Raw genomic sequence first — 22,757 nt, forward strand, 5'->3', positions numbered from 1 at the left:
TTGTCCTGCATGGGGGACAGCTTCCTCAGAGATGCTCATCCCTGGAAGCTGACAGAGTCTGACAGCCTGCACTGATCTTCACCATAGCAGACAGTGACAGCTCAAGTTGACTGAGTACATGTTCTGGTACAGTCCCAACACTAAGAACTTTAAATAGATGATGTCATTCAGTATTCACAACATCCCTCATGGCATTCCCATTTTACAGATAAGTAAACTGAAGCTGAGTAATTGGCCTGAGGTTAGTTATACAATTAGTGAGTTGTATATATAAATGACTAGTGAACCAGGGATTCAAACCCAGGTGCTCTGCTTCCTGAGCCCACGTCAAACAGGTGGTGCTTGCCCCTGTCTGCACAATAGAAGCAGCCAGACAACTTTCAAAACTCCTGCTGTGAAGGCTTTTGCTCAGGCTAATCAAGTCAGCATTTACATCTCCCAGGTGACCCACTGTGCATCTGGGGTTGCGGACTGCTGCACTATGCCTCCTTTCCTGCACCCTGTCTCCCCAAAATTGTTCCCATTAAGCATTTGGTCCCTACCAATCAGGGCTTGTGGGTGGCTCATAGGGAAACCGCATCTCAACATTACCTTTCCCCAGGAGGGAGCCAGCTGGGATCAGGCTTCTTTCAGCCAAGTGTAGTGTGGGTTGGGGACAGATACCTGGATGATGAAGATCCTACCCCTGACTCCTTCTTCCCCTCCCCCAACCAGCCTACAACCGTTCTCTCTCTCACCCAGAGCTCTGGTTTTTATCCCCATGATCCACACGAGTGAGGGGCATAGTTGCACCATCGTTATCTAAACCAGTGGTTCTCAAAGTAAGGCCCGAGGACCCGTGTGTGTCCCCAATACCCTTTCAGGTGCTATGTGGAAAGTATATGTCCAACTACCTGCATGTGAGACACTGGATATTCATCATAAACTTCAACCAAAACAACATATCACAACAGATGGCACAAAAGCAGTTATGAAAGGGCAGCTATCTTTTATTGAGCCAGATACTAAAACAATGTGAAACAATGCCATTCTTCTCATGAGTTTTTTGAAATTATGACTATTTTTCATAAAAATTATGCAATATGGTAAATTGACAGCTGTAGCCTGGACAAACAAAACCTCTTTGGAATCCTCAGAAAAGGTCCAGGGACCATAAAGGTTGAGAGTCACTGATCTAAATCGTCTACTATTTTCTCAGGAAGCTCAGTCTCAGCAGATCAGAGGGGAACTAGTAGAACATTGGTTGCATTATATTTATATTACATATATTATGACTATTATTTTTATCAGAATTTTAGGTAATCTCCGTTTGAGGTATTTTTGTATTTGGAGAAATATCAGGTGGGTGATCAGATCTAAAATGGAAGAATGTTCTAAGGTCAGCTCACCTTAGAAGGTGTTTGGGAATGCCGGGGAGGGTGGTTACTTTTCTACTCAGACCTTGAGAGAAGAAACAGCCTTTCCTGGGAAGCGTTTACATTTAAGCCCTGAGTGTGTTGTGCAAAAGGAGCTGAGCCAGGAATCTGCCAAGAGGCTGAGATGTCTGTCCTGTCCCAGTCCCAACTCACCCAGGCCCCACCCTGTTGCCCACAACTTCCAGTGCCAGCCCCAGCGAGTGCTGCAGACTGTGACCGCTGTACTCCCCCACCCATCCCAGGACTGGCTCCTGACCGACGGACAGACTCTGAGCTCTTGGCTCTGCCGCCCTGGCCTTGGCTCCCTCTTGGGCCTCTGGCTTCTGTTTGTACTGGAACCCAGGCTTCTCCTAGTGGGCTGTGACAGGCTCCCCTGGCTCTTAGTCCTATATACTGTCTTTGGCAGGAGTCCCTGTCCCAGCTCCAGCTCCACAGACTTGGACATTGGCCACTTGGCCAGCACTTTGGTCAGGCCAGCCCTGGCCGCCTGGGATATCTTGGAGGATTTGGGCAGAGACAACAGGACAGAGAGGTCTGTTTACAGAAGTCCCTCTATGTAGATTGGCACCTGAATGCAGTTGTCATCTGTGATAGCCACAGGGATTACTTGAAAGCGGGGCATGGCAGGGAGTGAGCTGGACCTGCCCTGGGATTCCAGTGCAGCTGGAATCATGGTGCTATTTGTTTTTTGACACTGCAACCATTCTGCATTAAAAAACACCCTTTTCAATCTAAGCCTTCATTATTACTCGTGCAGTGAAATACTATGTAAAAAACCAATAATTATTTCTCGCTACCTTTTGCTAAGTCCCTTCCGTGTGCCAGGTGAGGTGATTCGTTCATTTTATAATTGTTTATTGAGCACCTACAGTGAGCCAGGCATTGCTCAAGGGGCAGTGAACAAAGCAGGCAGAAATTACCTGTCTCGATGGAGCTTACATTTTTGTCTGGGAGGAGTCAGACTATAAACTAATAAACAAAGTAAATTTCTGGTATGTCAGATGGTGATGGATGCTGGGGATAAAAATCAAGTGTGGTAAATTGGAAAAGAAGAAGTAAAATAGTCTCTCTGAGCAGATGACAGGATCTTTTATGTAGAAAACCCCAAGATTCCACAAAAAATCTGTTAGAACTAATAAATTCAGCAAAGCTACAGGATAAAAATCAACATGTAGAAGTCAGTTGCATTTCTATGCATTAATAATGAAGAATCCAAAATGAAATTGAGAAAACAATTCTACTTATCATAGCATCAAAAAGAATAAAATACTCAGGAATAGACTTAACCAAGGAGGTAAAGACTGTACATGGAAAACTACAAAATTGCTGAAAGTAATAAAAGGAGATACAAATACATTGAAAGGCATCCTATGTTCATGAATTGGAAGACCTCATATTGTTAAAATGTCAATACTACTAAAGCAATCCACAGTTTCAGTGCAATTCCTATCAAAATCCCAAAGATGATTTTTGCGGAAATAGAAAAACTCATCCTAAAATTCACATGGAATCTCAAGGGACTCTGAATAGCCAAAGCAATCTTGGAAAAGAAGAATAAAGTTGGAGGCCTCTCACTTCCTGATTTCAAAATTTACTGCAAAGCTACTATAATCAAAACTGTGGAACTGGCATAAAGACAGGCGTAGAGACCAATGGAATGGAATAAAGAGCCCCTAGAAATAAAACCTCACATAGGTGGTCAATGATTTCTGGCAAGGGTGCCAAGACCATTCAGTGAGGAAAGAGCAATCTTCTCAACAAATGATGCTGGGATAACTGGATATCTACAAGCCAAGTATGACGTTGGAAGCTTACCTTACAGCATATCCAAAATTTAACTCAAAATGGATTAAAGACCTAAATGTAAGAGCAAAAACTAATAAAAAATTCAAAGAAAGCATAAAGAAAGGGCTTCTTAACATTGGATTTGACAATGATTTCTTGGATAGAACACCAAAAACACAGGCTTTTGAAAAACGTAGATACATTTTTGGAATAAAAATGATCTAATTATTAAAAACAATTTTAAAAAGCATTTAAGTAAAAATTTATATAAAAATAAACTGGACTACATCAACATCAAAATCTTTTGTGCATCAAGGGACACTATCAACAGAGTGAAAAGGCAACACATGGAATGGGAGAAAATATTTGCATGTTATATGTCTGATAAGGGATTGATATCCCCAGAATAGATAAAAACTCCTACAACTCAACAAGAAAAAAACCAAACAACTAGATTAAAAAATGGTCAAAGAGTTGAAGATATAGTTCTTCAAAGATAAACAAATGGCCAATAAACACATAGAAAGATGCCCAACGTCACTAATCATTAGGCAAATACAAATCACAACCACAATGAGATACCACCTTACACCCATTAGGATGGTTATTATCAAAAAAAACAAAAAACCAGAAAAGAACAAGTGTTGGAGAGGATATGGAGAAACTGGAACCCATGTGCATTGTCGGTGGTGATGTGGGAATGTGAACTGATGTAGCCACTGGGGAACACAATATGGCATTTCCTTAAAGAATTAAATGTAGAATTACAATGCGATCCAGAAATTCCACTTCTTGGTATATACCCCACAGAAGTGAAAGCAAGGGCTCAGAGAGCTATTTGCATGTCCATGTTAACAGTGGCATTATTCCCAATAGCCAAAAGGTAGAAACAACCCAAATGTCAATTGGCAGGTGAATGGCATAACAAAACATACAAAACATGTTGTAATACATACAATGGGATGTTATTCAGCCTTAAAAGGGAAGGGAATTTTAATACATGCTATAACACGTATGAACCTGGAAGACGTTATGCTGAGTGAAACAAGCCAGTCACAAAAAGATAAATACGGTACACTGTTACATGAAGTATTTAGAGTGGTCAAATTCATAGAGATTGGAAGTGGAATGGTGGTTTCCTGGGTCTGGGGGAAAGGGGAAATGGGAGTTAGTGTTTAATGGGTGTAGATTTTCAGTTTGGGAAGATTAAGAAGTTCTGGAGATGGATGGTGATGATGGTTGCCAAACACTGTGAATATACTTAGTGCCAGAGAATTGTACACCTAAAAATAGTTGAAATAGTAAATTTTATGTTGTGTGTATGTTAATTTTTTTAAGTGAAGATGTAAAGGTGCTCAGAAGAGTCAGAGGGACAGGTGGGGGCCTCATGATGAGGTGACATTGGAGCAGATGCCTAAGAGGTGGGGGAGCGAGACAGCTGGAGGTCGGTGAACAGCATCCAGGCAGAGGGAACAGCAGTCATGAAGGGCCTAAGGTGGGAGTGTCCTGGGCTTGTTAATGGAATGTCAGTCACCATGTGGTGTGAGCAGAGTGAGAGAGGAGGAGAGAGGTGGTGACAACCAGGGAGATGGTGAGTCCCTGGAGTATGAAGGGCCTTATGAGGCATTTGATTTTCTTCAGACCGGATAAAATGGGAGGACTTGGAGGGACTGAGTGGAGCAGGACCTGTCTGACTGGGTCTCCGGGCTGCTGGCTTAGAAATATACTATATGAGAGGCAGGACTGCAAACAGGGAGCTGAGCAGTCACCAGGGAGAGAGGTGGTGCTAGCTGGGACCAGAGTGACTGCAGTCAAGGTGATGAGAAGTGGCAGGAATGGGGATTCTACTGAAGGTCAAGCAGTAGACAGACACTGATACATGGAAGTGGAGTGAGAGAGGGGAAAGAAAATGCGATTCCCTGGTATTTGGTCTGAGCAACTCAACTAGAAGGATAGGGTCACCGTATACTGGGTGGGAAGCCTAGAAGAGATGTTAGGTTAAATCTGGAGCTAGTCTTTAGATGTGATCATCTAAACATGTTTGCGATGTTTAGGGTCAAGGTATGGGGAAGCCATCAACATAGAGATGAATTTAGAGCCATAAGGCTGGAGGGATCCCCATGGCATGGGTGTTGACAGAGAAGGGGAGGCCCAAGGGTGGAGCCTGGTGGGAAGGACCAGAAAGGAGACTGGAGAGAAGTGGCCATAGAGGTAGGGACAAGTGTAAGAGGGCTCATAAGCATTTTACATACATTACTCCATTAAATTATCATAGCAAATCGGAAAGTAAATATGGTGCTCATTTTACAAGTCAGGGGACTAAGATGTAGAGAGAAAAGGTAACTTGTCTAAAGTTCATAGTAAATGAAGCAGAGGCAGGATTCAAGCCAGTTGGCCCAACTCCACAGCTGTGTATGGTGCAACTCCACCCTGCAGAGTCTTTCTGTTGTGATGGGGACAGAACAGAGGGATGGGAGAATTGAATCTTGTAACTCAAGATGAGTAGGAGACCATCTCTGTCTTCCAAGTGTGCACTGTCTCGTGGGCCAGGGGCTAGAGTGCATCCATCACAGGACAGTGGCTCAGACAGGGGCCATCAGCGCGGGCAGCCCTCCTGGGTGAGCCGGGGTTGACACTGGCCACGGAGGCTGCACAGAGCCCAGCACTGACCTCCTGTGTGTATGTGGGGTTGAGGGAGGCTGTCCTCATGATAGCACCTGGGGAGAGGCCACACCACTTCAAGGAGTCGGGGCAGGTGTCCTATTTTAGGGCTGTCCAAACATAGAATGTGGGTAGCATTAGTGGTTTCCAGTGGCTGCCTTCCTGCCACAAGACAAAGCTGGTCTTGGGCATGTGAGCCGAGTTCAACTATTGGAAGCTCGCATTGGGACCAGCCAGCAGGCAGGAGTTTTGTGCAGTTGGAGAAGGCAGGGTTAGCATTCATGTTGGCAGCAGCGGCCATGCCCAGTTGGCGCTGTGACTTCTGGGCCACATTGAACCTGAAACCCTGCAGTGTTTTTCCCTTTGGTTCCTGGCACGGGGGCCAACTTGGCTCTTACTAGTTTTCCAAGTCTGCTTTTCTACCTTCTACTGACGCTGTGAGGCTTGGATAGATGAGTCAGTTACAGACAGACACTATAAAAAGATGCACAAACCATAACTGGGAAAAATGCTGACAAATTTCTCATTATCAAAAATGATGCATGTTCATTACAGGAAAGTTAAAAATGCAGACAGGTAAAGACACATACACAATTGCAAAATTCTATTGTCCAAAAATAATGCATATCCCAATCTGGTCTTTGAAATGTATCATATATGAATTTATACTTATATTGTTTTGAAAAGGGGATATGGGATGGTCATAGTACAATTTTCTCACCATCATGCAGTGGTTATGGGTTTCTGATTTTGGAGTCAGATAGAACAGGGTTCATGACTGGCTGCTCCTTCACTGAGGAGCCATGTGGCCTTGGGCTAGTTTTTGAATTCTTTGCATCTCAGTTTCTTTCTCTGTGAAGTGTGGACGATAACATTCTTACCTTAAAGGGTTGATGGGAGGCTCAAATGGCATAACACGTGGTAAGTTGTCCAGACAGTGTTTGGGCACATAGGAAGTGCTGAATGAATGCTCAGTGGTAGTACTGCTTGACAATCCAGTTTTTAAGTAGTCATGTGGTATATTTATCTCTCACAATGTAGAATAATGGGAACAATATTTGCTCATGGGCCAAAAATTATAAGCAACCATTAATTTCCATTAAAATGAATGTAGAATGCTGCATAAAAAAAGTAAGCTTGTACATCAAGCTGGTAATGTCAATAAGATACGTTCATTATTACCTGCCACCAATATCAATCGATTCTGTAATTACACTAATAATCAGAAACATTTTCGAAGTAACTAGGAATTGTAGTAAGCATGTGCTGCCAGGGGAAGAGGTATTACATTTGTGGCAATAATTTGGAAAATCCTACACTGTCAGGGTCCTGCAATAATGTCGTGAAAAGAGAAAAATATCTTTAGACAGAGCCATGGGAATGTCACCTTTCATCAATCCTGCACTGGGCTTTCCTGGAGTAGTCAAAGGCCCTTGGAGAGAACAGAAGTACGTGGCTACAGCCTTTGTTACAGAATGCTCCCAGGATCTGTGCAGCTGGCCTACTATGTGGCCCCTGGAACCAGCAAGAAGTAAGAAGGGCTAGACATGGAGGATGTGGTCAGAGGGTTAGATTTTCTTGCAGTGGTAACTGGAGTCATTGGAGGTGTTCACTATGGTTGGGGGAGAGAGGAGGGAGGAAGGAACACAATGTGATACTTAGTTTAAAAATGTTGTAGTACCTTGATCCAAATTTACAGGTTGCTTCAAAACATATATGGAAATGCAAAAGACCTAGAAGAGTTAAAACAATTCTAAAAAAGGACAAAGTTAGAAGACTCACTACATGACTTCAGCCCTTATATTATAAAGCTGCTCAAGGTCATGGGGTATTGGCATAAGGAAAGACAATGAGATCAATGGAATGGAATGGCAGGTTCTGAAAGAAACTCACACATATATGACCAATTGAGTTGCCAAGGCAATTCAATGGGAAAAGCAATGTCTTGGCAGTAAACGATGCTGGAACAACTAGATAAGCATATGGGAAGAAAGTTAACTTTCATCCCTACCTCATGCTACACACAAAACTAATTTGAGACACATTAGATGCCTAAACAGAGACTCAAAAATTACTACATTTGTAGAATAATAGAGGAGAATGTCCTATTAGGATAGGCAGGGGTTCTTAGAGGAGACTCAAAAATCACTTGAACATATAAACGAAAATATACTAATGAACTGGTCTACAATAAAATTAAGAACTGCTGTTCATTAAAAGACATCATTAAGAGAATAAAAAGGCAATGTACAAAGTAGGAAAAAATCTGTAATGCATATATCTGACAAAAACTTGTGTCCAGATATAAAGGATTTGTTCCCATACTATATAAAAATCCCTAGAACTTGACAATAAAAAGACAAACAGCCCAATTTTAAAAATGTGGCCAAAGACTTGAACACTTACAAATGGCCATTAAGCATATGCAAATGTGCTCATATCTCTAGTCATCTGAGAAATACATCTTTAAACTATAGTGATATAACATTACACTCCCTCCAGAGTAGCTAAAATTGGAAAAGACTGACAATGCTGGTAGGATGTGGAGAAACTAGAACTCTCATTCATTGTTGCGAGGAGTGTAAAATGGTACAACCATTTTCAAAAACTGTTTGGCTGTTCCTTACAACACTAAAACTACACTTTAACCACACAGTTGCATTCCTAAGGATTTACAAAAGAGAAACAGACACATGTCCCCAAAAAGGTTTGTACACAAATGTTTATGTCAACTTTGTTCATAAGAGCCTGAAACTGGAAGCAACCCAGTTTCACTAAAGAGTTTTGTTTAGACAAATTATAAACTATTCATAGATGGAAACCATTCTAATAATGAACTATGGATATCCTTAGTTTAACATAGATGCCTCATTTGCATGGAAGAAGGCAGACCCTGAAGAGCACATACTGTTTCCTGCTTGTGTGACTTCAAGAACAAGCCAAACTAGTGGATGGTGATACAAAAAGAAGTGTTAGGCTGGGGACGATCGTGGCTCATGCCTGTAATCCCAGCACTTTGAGAGGCCGAGGCAGGAGGATTGCTTGAGACTAGGAGTTTAAGACCATCCTGGGCAACATGGTGAGACCCTAGTTTCCAGAAAAAAAAAAATTAGCTGGCTGTGATGGCAGACCTGTCATCCCAGCTACTCAAGAGGCTGAGGCAGGAGGATTCCTTGAGCCCAGGAGTTTGAGGCTACAGTGAGCTACGATCACACCACTGCACTCCAGCTTCAGCTATGAAGCAAGACTCCATCTTTAAGAAACAAAGAAAGAAAAGAGAACAGTGGTTGCCTTTGAAGGTGGGTACTAACTGTAGAGGGGCATGGGGATGCCTGCTGGGGGAAGGGAATGCCCTGTGCTCTTGATTGATATGATGGTTACACAGGTAGATAATTGAACATAACTCATGCGCTTAAGCTCTGTGCATTTCACTGGCTGTAAATTTTACCTTAGTAATTACTCATAATAAAAAGCTCATGGTGCCTGATATTTGGGGCTGGGTGGACAGAGGAGGCCTGTCAAGAGGCTGTTACTATAGTCCAGGGCACAAGAGTCTGGTGAAGAGATGTAAAAAGTGGCCAGACTTGGCCAGGCACAGTCGTTCACGCCTGTAATCCCAGCACTTTGGGAGGTGGAGGCGGGCGGATCATGAGGTCAGGAGTTTGAGACCAGACTGGCCAGCATGGTGAAACCCCATCTCTACTAAAAATACAAAAAAATTAGCCAGGCATGGTGGCGCGCACCTGTAATCCCAGCTACTCGGGAAGCTGAGGCAGGAGAATCGCTTCACCCTGGGAGGTGGAGGTTGCAGTGAGCCGAGATCGCACCATGCACTCCAGCCTGGGTGACAGAATGATACTCCATCTCAAAAATAAATAAATAAATAAATAAATATAAAAAAAGAAAAAAAAGAAGTGGCCAGACTTGGGGTCTTTTGGAGGGAAGGTCAGGGCTGGTTAGCCCAGGAGGTGAGAGTCTTGCTTAGAGCTGGCAAAGGAGGCCGTGTGGGTTAACATCAGAGGAAAGACAGCTCAGACTACACATCCAACCTATTCTGAATCATGGCGGTTTTAGTTGAGGAGTATATATGTCTTTTACAGACTACTCTGTGAAAACATACATTTTTTCAGAGTTTATAACAGATTATTACATCACAATGATCTGTTACATCAAGTGCTCTACAAAGAAAGGGGAGTATTTTAAGAAAAGCTATCTTCCTCTGTTTGAGGCTGAATTTATTAAGTATTCATGTGAATAGCATGGACTGTAATTTAGGATAAACTATAAGCTGGGGTATAGTACTCATAAATTTATGGAATTATTATTATTTAAAATCACTACAAACTTACATGCTACTACGGAGATTGAATTTGGTTTGAATATATTAAGTGTAAATGAAGGCAGCTATTGATACAGTAGAATTGCTGCAATTCTACTGCTGCAATGTAGAAGAGCACATAACTATTGATTGATCATTATCATCGTAGCCCATTCAGTTAGTGCTGCCATTTCAATGAGAGGTGAAACTTGTCAATATTAGACATTCTTTAATTAAGAACAATTAATCAGAAATAAAATAAGAATTGAAGAAGATAGGGAATTTGTGTGTGAAGAAGATGTTAAAATATATACCAGTAAGGCAGTCATTCTTATTAAGCTTATTCTCAGTTCTGGAACTTTGGTTTGGCATCTGGAGATGGATGAGTACAAATATATGCTTAAATCAACATCAGAGAATTAATAGCAAACTCCTATTGTCATTTCCCATGAGATCTAATAGCAAAGGTCACTATCTCCTGCAGAGACAAGGGAAGGGAAGTAATTGTCATAGGCAATTTATAATGCTCTATGATGGCTAAATTTTGGATTGATTCTTCAGTAAATGTCCTTGCAATTAATTTCAAAGTGGTGAGTAAAAATGACCGCAGTTGGACACCATTAATGGCAAAGTCATACTCCTGCACTGACAGTGTTCGTGAAGAGAATGAAATATGAAGAAAGCTATGAATAGTTGGAAATTCGGGGGGCTGTGCTTACTCCTGATTATTTCAGTTTGGCTAAAACAGAGCTGGCATCAAGGAAGGGTTTGTTGTGATGATTCCAGAGAGGGTGACTCTCAGGAAGATGAACTGGGGGCCCAGGACAGGTTGATGTCAGGTGCTCTCTGGGAACAAGGCTGGTGGTGAAAAATAGGGGTGGACCGATGAGGAAGGCTGGGCCACTCAGGGTCCCAAGACTTCTTCTGGCTTAATAATGAGGAGCAGGGAGGGCTGGTGGCAAGATGTCCAGATGAGAAACCTGAAGCTCCGGATTCTGATAAAGGATACTGCTCTCCACTTCCCAGGTGACTCTGGTGGGACAAGTCATTTGACCTCCCTGAGCCTGGGATTTCCTGTCTGTTACATGGGGTCAGTCTTTCCTGTCCTGTTAGCCTCCCGTGTAGGGTTGTTGTGAGGATCTGTGCAACAAAGGACACTTAGGCCCTCTAAAAGAGTCTGCAACTATCTGCTTTAGTTGTCTTTTATTATTTGTTGGTAATAACTTCAGCAGTGTGAGCTGAAGCTGGAGCCATGCAGTGGTTTATATACTCAAGCCTGGAGATATTTTAGGAAATAATCAATACAAGATGCATTGGGTTGGAGCCATGGTAAGAGTCATAAATCTTGACAGCCTGCTGTTTGTTCAAATTAATAATGGTTGAGAGAAACATTGTAAAAACCTATGGGAGGGAAAAATCTAGAGTGTGTTTGGGGTGAGAGCTTTAGCCAGTGTGGAAACTGAAAGTCATTCAAGGAAGGTTAGTTATCATCCTGCTGCTGGTGGAGCAGTGTAGAAACACAGACACACACACACACTTGCACACACACGTGTGCATACAGATGCACACGCACATATAGACACACACATGCATACATGGACACATGTGCACACAGGCACATGCACACACATGTACATACACATACACATGGGTAACAAGCACCAGTTTTTTTGGGTGGATCTCAGAAGAGACTGGCAAACAAGGACAACTAGCACTGATTTCAACAATGGACAGCTGCACTTTGCCCACTCAAGGGCCTATCACCTTCTAAGAAAATGCTGGCTGCCTCTGAATTTTTAAAATGAAACATGTACAGTGTTTTTGCCATGCCTCATTTGTCACTGGTGGAGAAGAGTGTGTTCGTATAGCCTTGGGATTTGTGGCTGTTGTGTACAGTGAGTGAGGAGAGGGGATTGGGACCTCATGATTTTTAAATCATCAAAGCCTTGATATGGTCTATAGTTACAAAGTAAACATACTGCTTTTCCTGTGTCCAGGGTGCTCCCAGACTTCCCAATCCTCCACCCTCACATCAAGATGGTCACTGAAGCTGGGTACCATGGCGCATGCCTGTAGTCCCAGCTTCTTGGGAGGCTGAGCCAGGATGATCGTTTGAGCCCAGAAGTTCATGTACAGCCTGGGCAACATAGCGAGACCCTGTCTGTACAAAAAAAAAAAAGATTGTCAACAGAGCTCCAGCCAGGCATTCTTTGTTGGTTGGGGCATCAGTGCAGAGAGGCTGCAGGCTGTGGCACACATTGGAGGAGCTGGGCAGAACCGTGGGGGTGCCGGCCTGTAAAGTGAACACCAGGAGCTGGGAGGGACAAACCTGGAGAAAGCAAAGCAAGGCACGAGGCGAGTCGGTCGCAGGGTTGCAGGCTGGCCTCCATGCGGATGCAGTTGACTATTGTATAAGAAGAGTCTTTAACACTAACAAGGTTAGAGACCAGAAAGCCACATTAAAAAAAGATGAAAACATTTACTTTAGTAGAATGATGGAATTGTTTCTTAATTTAAAAACTGCTTTTACTGTGTTTATTTTTTATTATAAAAGTAACATGCATTTCTTATAAAAACTGTGAATTTAACAAGTCAGAAAACCATAAGGAAACCTTGATACTGAGTCTATCATATTTTCAGGCAGAGAAAACAAAGAATTTTGTCAGCCGAAGCCTTGTCATAGGAGAAGTCCTCTCCATGGCGGACATGGCCACAGGAGTGAAGGTGAGAGGCGCCGGGCACCTGCCCTTCATGAATGCATGCTCGCTTTGCATGCCAAGGAATGAAAACTATAACCCCGTGAGCTCTCTCAGTCTATGTAGTGGCACAGGTGTTGGTAAAATTGCATACCTCAAAACCTGTGCCTGACTTCCCTTTTAACTATCATATCCTATCCTGTTTTTGTTTCTAATTTGCTTTTCTTCTTTGTATAGTTTTGTTACATTTGTATCAATTGGTTATTTTCCTTTGTCTTAGTTTTATGAAAACAGTATCATAATCCTTTGTGATTTTCTTTCTTCACTTAAATATTATTGCTAAGATCGATTCATATTGTGTGTTCCTGTATTCATTAAATTTTAAAATAAAAACCTTTTCATTTTGAAATAATAATGCTCACAGAAAGTTACAAAAATAGTACATAGGGTCATGAGAACCCTTTAGTCATGGTGACATCTTATGTAGCAGTAATGCAATGTAAAATCAGGAAATCAATATTAGTACAGCACTGTTAGGACATAGACCCTATTCAGATTTCACGAGTTTTTACATGCACTCAGTTGTGTGTGTGTGTGTGTGTGTGTGTGTGTGGTTTTATGCAGTTTGACCCTATATGTAGATTCATGTAACCACCACCACAATCAAGATATAGAACTGTTCCATCATCAGAAAGAAACTTCCGGGTCCTACCCGGAAGTTTCATTTGGCCTCCATTCCACCCCTGTCCTTTGGCAAGCACTAATCTGTTGTTCTCCATCTCTATAGTTTTGTCATTTGGGGAATGACATAGCAATGGAAGATCATTCATTTTTGACTGCTGTATAATATTCCTTTGTGTGAATATACCACAGCATTTATTCATCCACTTTCTCATGTTGTTTCCAGGATTTTGCTAATGTGAAAAGTGCTGCTGTGAATACTCTTGTCCATGTCTGGTGTTGAACATGGGTAAAATCTTCCCTTAGGTATTCAACTAGGAATGGAATTGCTAGTTACAGGATGAATGAATGCTTAACTTTAAAGAGTAGTGTTAATCTATTCTCCAAAGTTAGTGCATCAATTCACATTCCCACCAACAGCATGTAATCGGATCCTGTGGACCCATATCCTCTTCCATACTTGGAATTCTTAGACTTCTCCATTTTTTTGCAAATGGTTATAAAATGGCATCTTATTGTCTTGAGGGAAGACAATTATCTTGCATGTTCCTGCTTACCAAGGAAGGCGAACAAAATAGCTCAGGTGGGCGTGTCTGCTGCAGCCACTCGTGCTGCCCAAGCCTTCCAGCAGAGAGTCCTTCATGGGGCCCTCCTTTCCCTCCCTGGACACCACTGGATCTCAGAATGATTCCTCATATCCAAACACCCAGTCGTGATGTCCCCAAAGAGGAGAAATTACAACTAGAACATGAAGACAGAATGATCAGACAAGAAGCCAGGTCAGTTGGCAGTGAGTCCAATATGGTGGTGATTTCAGTTTGGTGTGGACATTGTCTATTGGTAGGTAGGAATTAAAAACAAAGATATCTGTGAGTGCCATCTTGTCGTGAGGGTGTCCACCATCAGATTTTTCCAGGAAGACTGGGCTCCCTGTGATTTCAGCCAGGCACGATCTCTTCCCTCTTGGATGGGTTGGCTGTGGCTTTCAGAGAGAGCAGCTAGCTGAGATGCAACAGATAAATAAATAAATCCTGTCTCAGAAATACCGGAGGATCCTGGTCCAGACTCTCATGATCCCCAGTTTGTGCTTTTACCATGTTGCACCCCCACCCTACTCTGCCATCTACTTTCTCTTCAGCAAGCCTCCGTGGATTGTGACCATGAGGACAGCTCCACAGGTGGTGGCAGCTCTCTGGGTGGGGAGCCCTCTCCTCTGGTCTCCAGGGTCTTGCACTGAGCCTAGTCCATGGAGTTTCACAGGGATCGTCTGAATGAATGAGGGAAGGGGCAGCCTGTAGCATAAAGCAGACTTAAGAAGCATTTTAACCAATTGCAATATGTGTGTCTTATTTACATCTTGGTTCAAACAACAAACTATTTGTAATGAAAAATTATGTATCAGTTGGGGAAATCTGAGCATTGGACATCTGATGATATTAGAGAATGATCATTATATTTTTAGGTGGGATAATGGTTTTAGGGCTATGTTTTTAAAAAGAATCTGTATCTTTTACATATGTATTGGAAATATTCAGGGAAGACATGATATGATGTCAGGGATAAACATCAAGATAACCTGGGATGTAGGAAGGGAAAGTAGGTAGGGGTGGCGGGGGGAGGGAGATGAAGGAAAATGGACCATGAGCTGACCATCCTTGAGTTCATTAGATGCTTCTATTTCATTGAATTTTTCCATAATAAAATTTTTTTCTGAAAACTCCTGAGTATCCTAGAAGGAAATTGGCATAGACTTAAAGAAAATGTCCTTTGAAATACTTCTCTGAGGCCGGGTGCGGTGACTCACGCTTGTAATCCCAGCACTTTGGGAGGCCAAGGCAGGCGGATCACAAGGTCAGGAGATTGAGACCATTCTGGCTAACATGGTTAAACCCTGTCTCCACTAAAAATACAAAAAATTAGCCGGGCGTGGTGGCAGACGCCTGTAGTCCCAGCTACTCGGGAGGCTGAGGCAGGAGAATGGCGTGGACCCGGGAGGCGGAGCTTGCAGTGGGCTGAGATGGCACCACTGCATTCCAGCCTGGGTGACAGAGCAAGACTCCGTCTCAAAAAAAAAAAAAAAAAAAGAAAAAGAAAAAAAAGAAATACTTCTCTGATCACTCCAGTCTCCTGCTTAAAACCCCTTCCTTCCCATTATGCTTTAGAAACATCCTCTAATCCTTGATGTTGCCCATGGGTCCTTGCAGGTGTGGCCCTGGTCACATCTGTTCCACTCTCCTCTTCTTCTGGTTCCTTTTACCCACCTTTGGACCACTTGCTTCTAGCCCTAGCTTGGTCTTTCCCCTCCTTCTCCTGGCTGACAACTATTCATTCTTCATGTTCCAGCTAACGTGTCCTTCCCGCAGGGATGCCCCTCTCAAGCCTTCAACTTGAGTCCCATCCACTCGCTGTCACCTGTCTTTGCTTCTTACAGTTTTCTGCCATAACGTGTACCCATTTTGAATCTATATATTTATTCATGGAATTACTTTATGTCTCTTACTACCACAAGAGGGAAAACTCCTTGAAAACTATAACCCCTACATTCTTGGTACATAATAGGTGTCAATACTTGAGTATTAAATAAATATATAAAATCAAAACGATATGGTTGTTTCTCAAAAAGTAGGACATAAAAATTACCATACAGCCCAGCATTCCACTAACTGGATATATACCCCAAATAATTGAAAGTAGGGACTGAAATAGATACTTGTGTGCCAGTGTTCATTGCAGCATGATTCACAATAGCTAAAAGCTGGAAACAAGCCACATTTCCGTCAACAGAGGAGTGGGTAAACAAAATGTGGTATAAACTCAAAATGGAATATTGTTCAGCCACAAAAAATAGTGAAGTTCTGACACATGCCACCATGTGGATGAACCTTGAAATTATTAAGTGAAGTAAGCCAGACATAAGAGGACAAATATTGTATGAGCCTACTTATATAAAATATCTAGAATAGACAAATTCATAAAGACAGAAGGTAGATTAGAGGTAACAAGAGGTTGGAGGGAGGGGAGAATGGGAGTTATTGCTTAATGGGTACAGAGTTTTTTTTTGGGATGATGAAAAAGTTTTGGAAATAGTGGTGATGGTTGTACAACATTATGACTGTACTTCATGCCACTGAATTGTATGCTTAAAAGTGGCTAAAATGGCAAACCTTATGCTGTATGTATTTTACCAGAAATAAAAATGACAATTAAAAATTATTATTAACTATGCTGTCCCACACATCAGTAATTGTGGGAGATTTTTCTTTTCCTGGAGCTTGGAAATCCTAGACAATTAGAGGAAACTATAGACTGTGCAGCCCCCAAGTCCTGACCAGGAGGACCATGGCTGTCTTTTCTATTGGTGGTGGAGGAGATGCCAGGAGGGCATGTGGTGTGCTGGGAACAGTTCCTGTGAGCTCTGGGTCAGTCAGGGGTTCCCCAGATCCCCCTGCCAGCTCAAGAGCCACTGGTGGTCCCTGCCTTTCACATGAGCTGGCTGTCAACCTGAGGAAGGGACGTCAGCATCAATTCATCAAAATCAGCTGTGCCCTGCATGTTCAAGTCCCTTTTCTCTCTCTCTCCAGGTCTGTTTATCCAGTGGATTTGCATTTCCCTGAGCACCTTGGACAAACTCATTTGTACTCACACAGCCAAGTGCTGGCAGGGCTGGGGGCTGGCTCTGAGAGTGGCTCACAGCGACAGGGGTGGGCATATTAGCAAAGTGCCAGGGAAAAAGATTGTCTTTATTGGTGCTTTGAATCCCCACTCTAGCTTGTGAGCCAGCCCAAGTTTCCTGCCAAAAGCATGGGTGCAATCTGGAAGGACTCTAACTAAAGCTGAAAGAAATGAGACATGCTTCCTTTTCTGCTTCTCCATGGCTGTTCTATTTTGCCTTATTTGAACCATCCTATTATCTGTCTTAGCCTGCTTGGACTGCTATAACAAAATACCATGGGCTGGATGAGTTAAACAGCAGAAATTTATTTTTCCACCTTTCTGGAGGCTGTAAAGTCTAAGATCATGGTGCCAGCATGGTCAGGTTCCAGTGAGGGCCCTTTTCCTGGCTTGCAGACAGCCACCTTCTCATTGTGTCCTCATTGGTGAAGAGAGGTGCTGCTTTTTCTTCCTCTTCTTTAAAGGCACCAATCCCATTATTGGAGTCCCACCCTCATGAGCTCATCTAACTTTGATCATTGCCCAAAGTTTCCATCTCCAAATACCATCACACAGCGGGTAGGGCTTTAACATATGAATTTTGGGAGGACAAAATTCAGTCCATTTCTGGAGTCCCCGTTGTCTCAAAAAACACTTCCAGTTTTCCATTTGTGGAAATTTGCTCTTGGAATTAGGAAATCCTGAATACACTTGAAGTCTCTTTAGGAGGCCCTTGTTGGGCTGTTGTTTAGGAATGGCCTGGCCTATTGCAGCCGGGGAGCCGGCAGGCTTCCTGCCCATGGGACAGACCTCACGGGTCCACTGGGACAGGGGCACACTCAGAACAACAGAGTTGTACATGCTACCTCTAGGACTTCCCAGCCACACTTTTGGCATGTTCCTTTGTACATATGTACCTTAGCTTTCTCCTCCCTAAAGATGGCATTGCTAAAGCCCATTCACAGGCTGTGTGTAGATTTAAATCAGTAATGCCTACAAGGATCCCCGTGCCAAACCTGGCAGGTAGCAGGAGCTCCATAAATGGTGGGGACTGTAACCTCCTGGGACGTGGCTGGGGGCCCAGCCCCACAGTCTTCCAGGTAGTGGCTCCGTTGGTGGGTTGAGGTGATACCAGCCTGCCTTCCCAGCTCTAACCCACCAGATTTCCCTTCCACTTCAGGATGTCTCCTTTTAGTCTTTATTTAGAAGCTAAGAAGCCCTGCCATAGCCCCATCCTTTGGTCCCTGTGACCTGTCCTGGCTACACCTCCCAGCCCTCAGCTGTCTCACACTGTGGCCTCTGGAAGCTGCCGACCCTCATTGGGCATGTTATGATCATTACCTCGTGTGCTCGATGTCATAGCTGTCCTTTTTCTTCTCCTGATAAGTGGGAAAAGAGAGAGGAGGCTTTCTCAAGCAAGGTGGGTGCATGTTTGAAGTTCGAGTTTTCATTAGGTATCCCCCAACCAACTCTACTTTTTCTCTCTTACCACTGCTTTTCGCAGTCTCTCTCAGAGCAAATGGTCCTCTCTGTGTCCTGTTCCCTGAGGTCTGCCAGGGGCAGGACGCTGGGTAGTCTGACAGGAGAACCACAGTGTCCTCTCGGAGGACACTCTGCGACATTCCCACGTGATCGGTTGATGCCTACCTCCCATTAGCCTCAGGATTTCTGTTTTAAGGAGTCCATACCCTCCTCCTGGCTCCTCCCAGCCCCTCCTCCAAGCTGTTCCACTGCAGTCAGTGGGTCTCCATCTTCTTGGAAACTCAGGCCACACACCCAGGTGTCTCTCAGAGTCCTCTTTTTCCTTCTCCTCCCAAATCCATCCCAACAACTCTGTCTCCAGAATCTACCCTGAATCCCTCTACTTCCCCACTTCCCTGTCTGCCTCCTTCCTGGCCTGTGGGCTGGGGCCCATGCCCCTCCCAGAAGGCACCTGCTGAAAGCATGTCAGGCCAGGGAGCCCTCCACTTCCAATCCCCAGGAGCTCCACCTGCATTTGGCCCAGCTTGGTTGGATTAGCTGCCCTTCAGAGAATGTGGCTTTTGTGGGAAATGAACCCCACACTTTACCTGACTGTGTGGATTGAGGTCATGCAGACACTGCCTCTGTCAACTGCTGCAGTTTCCTGCAAACTTACAGGTTCACTTCCACAGCCCAGGGTGCCTACTAAGACATTTAGTGAATGGGGGCTTTCAAAATGTGGATAAAACACTCTAGGTTTTTTTTCCTCTTCCTAAAGAGGAGGAAAGGATTTAAAACCTAGAAGAGGAATTTATTGTCAAGAGTGCATTAGGCACCAGCCAAAGAGATTTAGAGGTGGAAAACCTAACTTGTTTGAGTTTTAGAAAAATATTTTTTTAAACTTAACTCCCAAGATGGTTTAGGGAAAAAACACGTACCATTTGGGTTGCTTCCATTTCCCATGTTGGAATTAGTAATGCAATTTGCAGTGCCTGCGATGATTCTGTAGAGAAGTGAGCTGAGTCTTCAGGGTGTGAATCATCTTCCCAGGATACTTTATGATTCTCCAAATGAAAAGCACTTCACATGTCAGATGTGATTAGTGAAATTCATCTGTCCTGATGCCAGAGTGTGTTAGCTGGTCCGAGCTGCTAGAGTTGATCAAGTACCATTTCACAAAGTTAATACCAGGTTGTTCATACACGTGGGGTATGAACAGAGAGCTCATCCAGATGCAGTGACCCCAGGAAAAAAGTCGACTCTAAACTTGCCTAAGCAAAAATGGTACTTATTGGCTGCTGTAATTCAGGAGTCTAGGATGCAGCAGGCTTCAGGTCTGGGTGTGCAGGACCTGGTCTCTGCCATCTCTCAACTCTGCCTCCTTCCCCCAACCGGGTCCTCATACATTGGCTTCATTCCCCAGCTCATGGCTGTATGGCCCCAGGCTTCCATCCCTCCAGATTTCATAGCCTCACAAAAGAGGGCTTCTCTTCCACAGTAGCTTAGCCTTGTGTCCTGGCTTCTACTCCAAATGGACACACCCAGATCATGAATCCATCCTGAGAGCCATTGTCTGGCCAGATGAGCCAGTCCTGGGCTCCCAACTCATCCTAAAGCTGGGATGGGGTGGGGTCAACATCACCCACAAACCACTTGGACAGATTCTAGGGGAGGAGGGCTCCCCAGATGAAAACTGGGGTTGTATAGCTAGGAGGGGGAAGGAACTCTGACCTGCAGGCACAGCAATGTCCCTACATTCAAGTTCTTCTGTCTTTGCAGTCAGTCACCCTGCTCCTTCCAAACGGCCCTGCTCAAGCCACTCTGCCTCTTCCTGTTTCTTCTCCTTCTCCTTCTCATCCTCATCCTCTTTGTCTTCCTCCTTCTCTTTGTCAGCAACACTTTTCCAGGGTTTACAAAAGACCAGGCAGGCTGGGCATGGTGGCTCATGCCTGTAATCCCAGCACTTCAGGAGGCCAAGGTGGGAGGATTGCTTGAGCTCAGTAGTTTGAGACCAGCCTGGGCAACATAGCAAGACCTCATCTCTACTAAAAATAAAAAAAACTTAGCCAGGTGTGGTAGTGTGTGCCTGTAGTCCCTAGTCCCAGCTACTCAGGAGGCTAAGGCAGGAGGATCGCTTGAGCCTGAGAGTTTGACAATGCAGTGAGCTATGATCATGCCACTGTCCTCCAGCCTGGGTGAAAGAGTGAGACCCTGTCTCTTAAGAAAAACAAAAACAAAAAACCCACAAAAGGCCAAGCAAAGGCTTGGTGGTTGACTCTCACTGAATCCTCATGGTCACTATATGAAGTATTATAAGGCATTAGGTAGCTTGGGTTTCAGCCTCAGCCCTTCCCACTTTCTTAGGATGTGGGTGAGACACTTTCCCTCTATGAATCCCAATTTCCCATGTTAAATGGGGATGATGATGCTTTCTCTCCAGGGTTGTTGTGAGAGTCAGTGAGCTTGTAAGCTCAGTAGCTCAGTAAATGGGTACTCTCACCATTCATTTATCAGATGAGGAAGCTGAGGCTACAATGTCATTTGTCCAAGATCCTGCAGCCGGTGGGTAGCTGAAGTGGGATTGAAACCCAGGGTGCTCATCCCAAGCTGCATGCTTGCTCCTTTTGCAGCGTTGCCTCTTCCATCCACCTTCCTGTAAGGAAACACTTTCTCATGGCAGGACTCACCTCCACAGACGGGTCAGCATCGAGGGTCATTGCACACACACTTTGTTACATGTCTTCTGCATCAGGACCTAAGCTAGATCCTGAGAGGACAAAGCAGAATGAGCTTTCAGAGCATTCATTTGTTGGGGGGATCTGGGAGGCCTGAGGATGGAGGATTGACTTTCTGTGTCAGTCCTGAGCGACTCATGAGCCATGTCTGCAGAGAGAAACTGGAGCTCACCAGGCAGTGAAGAGGAAGGGCAAAGAAGCATGCCACTTGCAGGGCTTAGGTCAAGCACAGGGGGCTGAATAGCTGCTCCCTGATTGGAGTTTGGCCGTGGATTTAATTGTCTTTAGATTGCTGACTGTTGCTAATGATGGTTTGTATTGTCCTTGTTTCCAGTGCGGAATAATTTATTGGCTATTTGGTGGTGCTATCAGGAATCTCGGAAGCCCTGAACATGTTACTAAGTGGTTTCAGCCACTCCAGGTATGGTATTTTCCTCAACATTGGTCTTCTATGGAGAGCCTTAAAAATCTGTAGTAGATAGATATGCATGTGTGTATGTGTTTGAAGAAAAATAAAATAAAACAGAATTTGTATCAGCAAAAATCTTGTTGAAAATGAGAATTCCAAGACTATCTTTTTTATGTTGCATTGGGCCTGTCATGTTGTTAAGCTCACATTCGCTGTCATCAGACTGCATTTTTATAATTTTCTCCAACCCACCTGTCCCTCTCTCACCACCATTCTTAATGGTCCGAGGGGTCTGCATTTGGAGCAACTGCCTGACCAGCTAATTCCCTTCTAACATCTGGTAAACTCCAGGAGCAGAAATACACTGGGATGTTTGCAATGACCGAGAGGGGCCATGGGAGCAACGCGAGAGGGATCCAGACCGAAGCCACCTTTGACCTCTCTGCCCAGGTGAGGAATCCATCCTTCTCCTGCCGTGCAGGGGAGCTGGAAACCTGGACAGAAACAGATCTCCTTCTTTCTGTGTCCAGCTTCACACCCTCTGTGTGTGCTCTCTGGCCCAGGGAGCTGAGATTCAGATCAAATGCCTAAGTGTTTTAATAGAGGTGGATATGTGCTCAGCCTTCGTGTACCCAACATCAGCCAGCATGTTGCCTTTGAGGCAATATGGTGCCTTTGAGGCACTGAACACTGCTTCAAGCACTTTGTGTGCACTTGTGAATTTAATCCCTTGTCATAACTCCAAGAGAACAACACTAAAACCATTTTGTAGTCGTCCCTAGCAGTAGCAGGAACAGACTGGAGGAGACGCCTTTGTTGGTCCTCTCCACTGTGCCCTGTGTCAGGAGGGCACTATGCTGGGGCCACCTTATCAGGAGCTGAGTCTTCTGTACTGGGATCATGTGCTGTCCCTTACCGTGACCTGCACTGACATTTTACATGACA

The 22,757-nt window shown here is 44.0% G+C and overlaps 1 protein-coding gene across 28 annotated transcripts in view, besides 1 other annotated feature; it reads left to right on the plus strand.

Moving 5' to 3' along the window:
- ACOXL (acyl-CoA oxidase like) overlaps positions 1-22,757 on the plus strand; it is a 385,976-nt gene that overhangs the window by 39,340 nt on the left and 323,879 nt on the right. For 27 of the 28 annotated variants that reach the window (NM_001437600.1, XM_011511414.4, NM_001142807.4 and 24 more), the window contains exons 3-5: positions 12,820-12,903; positions 21,738-21,824; positions 22,164-22,262. In NM_001437600.1, coding sequence (NP_001424529.1) covers positions 12,820-12,903; positions 21,738-21,824; positions 22,164-22,262 — 270 coding nt within the window. Of the gene's footprint in view, positions 1-8,783; positions 9,161-12,819; positions 12,904-21,737; positions 21,825-22,163; positions 22,263-22,757 lie in introns of those variants that run through there. The other variant, XM_011511407.4, reaches the window with a different exon arrangement.
- Positions 217-718: an enhancer, noted in NCBI's record as "NANOG hESC enhancer chr2:111529706-111530207 (GRCh37/hg19 assembly coordinates)". NCBI's record gives its function as "activates a minimal SCP1, AML or CMV promoter by ChIP-STARR-seq in naive H9 embryonic stem cells {active_cell/tissue: H9 hESC(naive)}" and the evidence as "EXISTENCE:reporter gene assay evidence [ECO:0000049][PMID:30033119]".

Source organism: Homo sapiens, chromosome 2, assembly GCF_000001405.40.
Source record: "Homo sapiens chromosome 2, GRCh38.p14 Primary Assembly".
NCBI classification, from domain to species: domain Eukaryota; kingdom Metazoa; phylum Chordata; class Mammalia; order Primates; family Hominidae; genus Homo; species Homo sapiens.